Source organism: Homo sapiens, chromosome 2 (genome assembly GCF_000001405.40).
Source record: "Homo sapiens chromosome 2, GRCh38.p14 Primary Assembly".
Taxonomy (NCBI): domain Eukaryota; kingdom Metazoa; phylum Chordata; class Mammalia; order Primates; family Hominidae; genus Homo; species Homo sapiens.
The window spans coordinates 79,080,419-79,088,849 of NC_000002.12; the positions used below are offsets into that span (position 1 = coordinate 79,080,419).

At 41.6% G+C, this 8,431-nt stretch overlaps 1 protein-coding gene across 1 annotated transcript; it reads right to left on the reverse strand.

Moving 5' to 3' along the window:
• Positions 1-4,604: 4,604 nt before the first annotated feature.
• Positions 4,605-7,575, reverse strand: REG1B (regenerating family member 1 beta). Its single transcript, NM_006507.4, has 6 exons — positions 7,541-7,575; positions 7,131-7,240; positions 6,394-6,512; positions 5,949-6,086; positions 5,074-5,185; positions 4,605-4,865 (listed from the first exon to the last, which is right to left on the reverse strand). The coding sequence occupies exons 2-6, from the start codon at positions 7,192-7,194 to the stop codon at positions 4,798-4,800; spliced, it is 501 nt and encodes a 166-aa protein (NP_006498.1). The 5' UTR covers positions 7,195-7,240; positions 7,541-7,575; the 3' UTR covers positions 4,605-4,797.
• Between the last annotated feature and the right edge of the window lie 856 nt (positions 7,576-8,431).

The window sequence follows — 8,431 nt, forward strand, 5'->3', positions numbered from 1 at the left end:
ATTTCAGAATTTGTTATTGGTCTATTCAGGGATTTGACTTCTTTTTGGTTTAGTCTTGGAAGGGTGTATATGTCCAGGAATTTATCCATTTCTTCTAGATTTTCTAGTTTATTTGTGTGGAGGTGTTTGTAATATTCTCTGATGGTAGTTTGTATTTCTGTGGGATCAGTGGTGATCTCCTCTTTATCATTTTTTATTGTGTCTATTTGATTCTTCTCTCTTTTCTTCTTTACTAGTCTGGCTAGAGGTCTATCGATTTTGTTAATCTTTTCAAAAAAACCAGCTGGATTCATTGATTTTTTGAAGGGATTTTTGTGTCTCTATCTCCTTCAGTTCTGCTCTGATCTCAGTTATTTCTTGTCTTCTGCTAGCTTTTGAATTTGTTTGCTCGTGCTTCTCTAGTGCTTTTAATTGTGATGCTAGGGTGTCAATTTTAGATCTTTCTCGCTTTCTCCTGTTGGCATTTAGTGCTGTAAATTTTTCTGTAAACATTGCTTTAGCTGTGTCCCAGAGATTCTGATACATTGTGTCTTTCTTCTCATTGGTTTCAAAGAACTTATTTATTTCTGCCTTAGTTTCATTATATACCCAGTAGTCATTCAGGATCAGGTTGTTCAGTTTCCATGCAGTTGTGCAGTTTTGAGTGAGTTTCTTAATCATGAGTTCTAATTTGATTGCACTGTGGTCTGAGAGGCTCTTATGATTTCCATTCTTTTGCATTTGCTGAGCAGTGTTTTCCTTCCAATTATGTGGTCAATTTTAGAATAAGTGTGATGTGGTGCTGAGAAGAATGTATATTCTGTTGATTTGGGGTGGAGAGTTCTCTAGATGTCTATTAGGTCCACTTGGTCCAGAGCTGAGTTCAAGTCCTGAATATCCTTGTTAATATTCTGTCTCGTTGATCTGTCTGATATTGACAGTGGGGTGTTGAAATCTCCCACTATTATTGTGTGGGAGTCTAAGTCTCTTTGTAGGTCTCTAAGAACTTGCTCAATGAATCTGGGTGCTCCTGTATTGGGTGCATATATATTTAGGATAGTTAGCTCTTCTTGGCGCATTGATCCCTTTACCATTATGTAATGCTCTTCTTTGTCTTTTTTTATCTTTGTTGGTTTAGAGTCTGTTTTATCAGAGATGAGAATTGCAACCCCTGCTTTTTTTTTTTTATTTTGGGCTTTCCATTTGCTTGGTAAGTATTCCTCCATCCCTTCATTTTGAGCCTGTGTGTGTCTTTGCACATGAGATGGGTCTCCTGAATACAGCACACAGATGGGTCTTGACTCTATCCAGTTTGCCAGTCTGTGTCTTTTAATTGGGGCATTTAGCCCATTTTCATTTAAAGCTAACATTGTTATGTGTGAATTTGATCCAGTCATTATGATGCTAGCTGGTTATTTTGCCCATTAGTTGATGTGGTTTCTTCATAGTGTCGATTGTCTTTACATTTTGGTATGTTTTCGCAGTGGCTGGTACCAGTTTTCCTTTTCATATTTAGTGCTTCCTTCAGGAGCTCTTGTAAGGCAGGCCTGGTGGTGACAAAATCCCTCAGCATTTGCTTGTCTGTAAAGGACTTTATTTCTCCTTTGCTTATGAAGCTTAGTTTGACTGGATATGAAATTCTGGGTTGAAAATTCTTTTCTTTAAGAAAGTTGCATACTGGCCCCCACTGTCTTCTGGCTCACAGGATTTCTGCAGAGAGATCCTCTGTTAGTCTGATTGGTGTCCCTTTGTGGGTAACCTGGCCTTTCTTTCTGGCTGCCCTTAACATTTTTTCCTTCATTTCAACCTTGATGAATCCAACAATTATGTGTCTTGGGGCTGCTTTTCTCAAGGAGTATCTTTGCCGTCTTCTCTGTATTTCCTGAATTTGAATGTTGGCCTCTCTTACTAGGCTGGGGCAGTTCTCCTGGATAATATCCTGAAGTATGTTTTCCAATTTGGATCCATTCTCCCTGTCACTTTCAGGTACACCAATCAAACGTAGGTTTGGTCTTTTCACATAGTCCCATATTTCTTGGGGGCTTTGTTCTTTCCTTTTCATTCTTTGTTCTCTAATCTTGTCTTCACTCTTGACTTCATTAAGTTGATCTTCAATCTCTGATATCCTTTCTTCTGCTTGATTGATTCAGCTATTGATACTTGCGTACGCTTCATGAAGTTCTCGTGCTGTGTTTTTCAGCTCCATCAGATCATTTATGTTCTTCTCTAACTAGTTATTCTAGTTACCAGTTCCTGTAACCTTTTATCAAGATTCTTAGCTTTCTTGCATTGGGTTAGAACATGCTCTTTCAGCTCAGAGGGGTTTGTTATTACCCACCTTCTGAAGCCTACTTCTGTCAATTCATCAAACTCATTGTCTATCCAGTTTTGTTTCCTTGCTGATGAGGAGTTGTGATCCTTTGGAGGAGAAGAGGCTTTCTGGTTTTTGGAATTTTCATCCTTTTTGCGCTTGTTTTTTTCTCATCTTCATGGATTTATCTATCTTTGGTCTTTAATGTTGGTGACCTTCGGATGGTGATTTTCCTGGGTGTCCTTTTAGTTGATATTGATGCTATTGCTTTCTGTTTGTTAGTTTTCCTTCTAAGAGTCAGGCCCCTCTTCTGCAGGTCTGCTGGAGTTTGTTGGAGGTCCACTCCGGACCCTGTTTGCCTGTGTCTCACCAGCGGAGGCTGCAGAACAGCAAATATTGCTGCCTGCTTCTTCCTCTGGAATCTTTGTCCCAGAGAGGCACTGGCCAGATGCCAGCTGGAGCTCTCCTGTATGAGGTGTCTGTCAACTCCTGCTGGGAGGTATCTCCCAGTCATCAGGCACTGGAGTAAGGGACCCACTTGAGAAGGCAATCTGTCCTTTAGCAGAGCTTGCGTGCTGTGCGAGGAGACCCGCTGCTCTCTTCAGAGCCAGCAGACAGGAAAGGTTAAGTCTGCTGAAGCTTGGCCCACAGCTGCCCCTTCCCCCAGGTGCTCTGTCCCAGGGAGATGGGAGTTTATCTATAAGCCCCTGACTGAGGCTGCTGCCTTTCTTTCAGAGATGTCCTCCCCAGAGAGGAGGAATCCGGAGGGGCAGTCTGGTTATAGCGGCTTTGTCACACTGCAGTGGGTTCCACCTGTTTCAGGTATTTTGAGACATCTTCCTGAAGAATTAACTACTTTATTATTATAAAATACTCCTTTTCTTCTCAAGTAACATTTTTGCTTTAAAGTCAAATATGTCTGATATTAGTATCATTGCAGACAAAACCAGTCCCCCAAAAGATGGAGTCTTTCCCTATTTGGTGTCACAAAGCCAATACATGAAACAGAAAGTGAGTGTCAAGCACTGCAGGATTTATTTGATGGCCATGGAATTGAGAAGCAGGAACATGACTCACAAATTGGCTTCTCTGCTAGTGAGGGGTAAAGTGGTTAAAATATAGGGTTTCTCCAATGAAAGGACTGGGCATTAAAAACAAAGGGAGGAATATTCATGTCTTTTCTGGAAATAGGTTGTGAACTTCCTAGGAACCAGAGTGTGCTTCCTTTTTGTACCTTTATTGCTTCTTCTGGCCATTGTCATGGTGATTGTCAGCTGTCATTGTGCTGGTAGGAGTGTCATTTAGCATGGAAATGAGATTATAATGAACCAGATGTCTTTCTGAGGTCCTTTGATGGTGATCTTGATTCTAACCAGTATCAGCTGGACTAGTTATAAAGGAAACTTTTTACCACAGGCATTCTGTTTCTTAAAGATAAGCAGAGTTCAGACAGGGTAGAAATTCAGCAATCTCATATAGGCATTACACTGGGTAACAGTACAGAAACCAGTGTTCTTATGGTTTCTGTTTGCAAGATATGTCTATTTCCTTCCTTTTATTTTCAAGCTATTTGTGTCTTAATTTAACTCATGTCTCTCATACATAGCATACAGTTGAATCTTGTTTTCATTGTTGTTACTTTAATCCAGGATGACAATTTGTTTCCTTTGTTATCAAATCACATTTAACTCTATTATTGATATGATTGATGTTATGGGCTGAACTGTGTCCCTGCACAATTAATTTGTGAAAGTCCTAAGAGTAATATTTCAGAATTTAACTTTATTGAGAGTTAGGATATTTAAAGAGATGATTAAGTATGCCTGTATATTTAATTTACATAATTGATCATTCACTTATTCATTCATCCAAGGAGTAGCATTTAACAAACTTTGCAGGCTGGCCTCCAAAAATGTACCACTAATGCACTCAGGACCGCAGACCTGACAATTCTCCTTAAGTTATCATTTCAGTCATGACTTCAAATTGCATAACCAAGAACAGATGTGTTCTCCTCAGACCCCAACTATGCGAATTCTTCTGGAATATTAAATACTCCAGTCAGACTGGATCAACAATTTAATTATTTGTGTAATTCACACTAGGTTCATGCTAACATGTGTTGTGGATGAAATCTTAATCTTTTTATCTTGTCATAAACAAGGCCACCACATGTTCATAAGCCTGACATACATAAAATGTGAGTGGGGTTTTAACAAGTGGATGGGCCATGGCAAGCTCTGGAGTGTGACAATCATTCCCACCCCAACCACCCAAGCATGGGCTGTAGAAAGAGCAAATGCAGAAGACAGAACACTGGATAAAAATAAGTTTGTTTTTATTTTTCAGGGCTCTAGAGACTGAGACAGGTGAAGGTACTGAAGATCAGCGATGCAAACTCATTAGGGAGGAGATGGTCTGAACTGAGTTGGAGACATAGTCTAGTTTAATTTTTGACTTCATAGTAATTGCAGGACCAGTTCTAGACATCCATTTTTCAGCTTCCTCTAGTTTTTGAACTTGCAAACAAAGGAGAACTTCTTCTCACAAGATTCATCCTTCCATTTCTTGAATCCTATGGTACAATGAGAAGTGTCAGACATAGAGGATCAGAAGGAGTGTAGCCCCTCCTCAACCTAGGACTCAGAACAAAAAACTAGAGGAAATACTTCTTTATTTTCCAGATAAGGAGCTTACCTTTCCTCTATCCCAGTCCCCATGTTCATCCCCAGAGATAAGTGGGAAGGAAATGGCAACAGGTGGATAGATTGTCTGCCTCTCACCTGAGCATGAAGTCAGGCTTGCACAGTAGCCAGCATTAGCACTGCTCGGGGATCCAGTGTCCCAGGACTTGTAGGAGACCAGGGACCCACTACTCCAGTGCCAGCGGCGGTTCTAGATGGAGAAGGGCCAGAACAGGGGCCATGGTCACTCAAAAATCAATAGAATAACCAGGCCTGTGTGCACACTCAGAAACAGGCCAAGTTATAGCAGAAAGAATAAACATTGTTGTCACCATGAATATCATATCATTTCCTCTGCTTTTGCTCTAAGCTTCTCCTTCTCTAGAATGTCCGAATTCCTCCTCCTCTTCCAGCAAATAATAAGTGTTCAGAATTTGATACAGAGACCCATAAAAGCCCATTAAAGAGAGTGGTTTCTGATTTTTTTCCTGAATCTCAGAACTCTCATATCCAGCATAACATTGGCTGTAGAGTAGTCGTTGATATATTATTTAGTTTATAGTGTTAAACTAAATAATATACTGTACAGTTTTATACACTTGTATAAAATGTATAACAAATGCCAGCAGTAGATTCTCCTCCACTACTCATTTTCTATATAGTCTACAGAGGGACCTCTTCCAAGACAGACAATAGCAAAATAGGGAAAAAGTTGTACATAAAGATGCATTTCTAGAAGTAGACACAATGAGTGGGTGCATGAATTCCCAGAGCCCAGAAAATTCAGCCTTCAGCTCATGTCTCTAACTACCTACACTGAACTTCACAACTCATACATTATAGGATCTATAAAGAGGTTGCTTTTATTTAAACAAACAAAAAGATAAAAGTTGGTGATTGCGGTGCCAGACCTTAAACGTCCCTCTTACCTCTCAAAAATGTTTATAAGGAGATAGAGGTGGCTGCAGACTGACCTTTTTTGGGTCATGGAGGCCAATCCAGACATTGCTGTCATCAGTGCTACTCTCCTTAATCAGTGAGGCCACGAAGGCACCCTCCGCCTGGGTGAGCACAGACACCAGGTTGCCTGAATTCATGTTCTGGCAATAGAGCTGTTGGAGAAGAAAATGGAGCACTCAGTGGAGAAGGAAGGTGTGAGGGATATACTGAGACCTTCCAGAGGATGTAACAGAAAAAGGACAGCACAGAAATGTCCCTGATGATGCTGTCACTGACCACCAGCATCTCTGTGCTGGGAATGTGTCAAATGATGGGATAAAGTAGATTGGGAAGTTTGGGACCAGTGGTGGAATAGGGAAGGGATCAATCTTATCTCATTGCAGCCACAGAACACACTGCAAATTAGCAGCTGCCTCTACCTTCATAAGCCTCCCTTCCCCTGCTGCTCTCCTCACTCACATCTGCATCAACCCAGGTCTCAGGGTCTTCATTAAAGTAGTAGCAGTAGGAGCGATAGGCATTGGTGCCTTCTGGGCAGCTGATTCGGGGATTAGGCAGCTCTGTCTGGGACTCCTGGCCTGGGGAAAAAAAAAAGGAGATAATTAAGAAAGAATCGCAGGGCAAGGAAAAGGCTGGAAGGTGAATTAGGGGCTTCTTGGTGTCCTTTATAAGAACATATGGATACAGTGAATACTGGGGCGATTGCTCACTTCTGCCCTCCTGCATCCTATCTCTTTTCTCTCTAGTTTCCTCTGCTCAAGACAAGAGCTCACAATGAATAGGCTAAATAAATGAGTCCTCGTTTTCCTTTAATTCTGAGGCTGAGGCTTCTGCCTTTAAAGACCCAGGCTTCCTCCTTTCTCAAGTTTCTCTCGGTTTCCCTGCACACGTTTGCCTTAGCTCTCCATCCTAGCAATGACTACATAAAAACATCCCCCAAACTGCCATCGCATATAGATTCAATCAGATAAACTCAACCACAATGGTCACCTATAAGTGGTCCTATTAAATTCTGTCTCAAACCCATGAATGAGGTGAGGGTGTTTTTGAATGGGATAAAATCAGCCATAATGATCACTGAACAACATAAAAAAACCCTGATGTTGACTCTGCTTTTTTTCAAGTGAACCTTATACATGAGGATGGAGGGAAGAATTCAGAGTTGGGGTTGTGGGAAGTGTGGGGGAAAATCTCACCTTGGCTCAGAGACAGGAACATCAGGGAGGAGATCAGCATGAAGAACGAGTTGGTCTGAGCCATGCTTAGCGGCAGTGAATCTCTTGCTTAAGGAGCAAATCAGCAATCTCTGTAGGAGAACACAGGGAAGAGGGTTTGAAGAAGAGAGCAGAGCACCTGTTATCTTTCTAACATCCTCTCCTCTCTGAATTCCTGTGAGCCGAAAGGTCCACTGAGATAGCTACACTCCCAGATATTTCTCTTTTGGTTTGGGGATAACAGAGGCCAAATTACCCGAAATCAGCTTTGGTCTTGCTTAAGTTTCATTACTACTGGGATCTTTTATTCAGAAAATCACCCTGTATCTACCTCAAAATGAAAAGAGAAAATCCCACGTTAGACATGCTCTTCTCCTGTAATGCCCCTTTACCTGTTGGTAAGTGCCTTGTCCACTTGAGGTGGCTTGTCAGGTCAGACAGAGTAGGAGCTTTATATCAGGGTCTGAGAGAGAACTACATGATATAAACAATGGGTGGAGCAAGGAGTAAGGATCAGAAGGCCTACAGAGGGCACTGACAGTAAGAGATTCTGGCATCAGGAATAGCTTATTCCTGGCACACATTAGGAGTGGTCACAAATGACATCAACTTACCACAAACAGGTTGGCAAACTGTCCAAGTTGATGTTGAGCTTTGCTCTTCCTCTGCAGCATCCAGGTGTCCAGTTCCCATGGCCTTTAGCAGTCCTAGAAAGAGCAGAAGAGTAGATTTCTTTGTGCTAGGTAAATGTGGGATGATCCTTTCTTTGGTTTAGGCATGGGTAGGGGTAGGGGAAGAGTCAACTGAGTCCAAATGATTAAGCCCAATTAGCTGGTGGCTTTAAGTCATTTCTCCATTCCCTTTCAGGTTCAGGAACCTCTCAAGACCTACTTCAGAAGGCAAGGTGTATTAGTCCTTTTCATACTGCTATAAAGATAATACCAGAGACTGGGTAACTTAAAAAGGAAAGAGGTTTAATTGACTCATAGTTTAATTGACTCACAGACTTTCCTGAGGATGGGGAGGCCTCAGGAAACTTACAATCATGGAGACGAAGGGGAAGCAAAGCATGTCTTACATGGTGGCAGGTGAGCAAGAGAGAGTGGAGAGGGAAGAGCCCTTTATAAAACCATCAGATCTTGTGAGAATGCACTCACTATCAAGAGAACAGCATGGGGGAAACTACTCCCGTGATCCAATCACCTCCCACTAGGTTCCTCAATCCACACATGGGGATTATGAGGATTACAATTTGAGATGAGATTTGGGTGGGGACACAGAGC

Bases quoted from the DNA above. Each gene is read 5' to 3' on its own strand.
- REG1B (NM_006507.4), bottom strand. From the start codon at position 7,194: ATGGCTCAGACCAACTCGTTCTTCATGCTGATCTCCTCCCTGATGTTC. The intron at 6,513-7,130 runs GTGAGATTTTCC...TTTTTTCCCCAG, and splicing joins GTTCCTGTCTCTGAGCCAAG to GCCAGGAGTCCCAGACAGAG. The intron at 5,186-5,948 runs GTCAGTCTGCAG...TTCTCCATCTAG, and splicing joins GCCTCCATGACCCAAAAAAG to AACCGCCGCTGGCACTGGAG.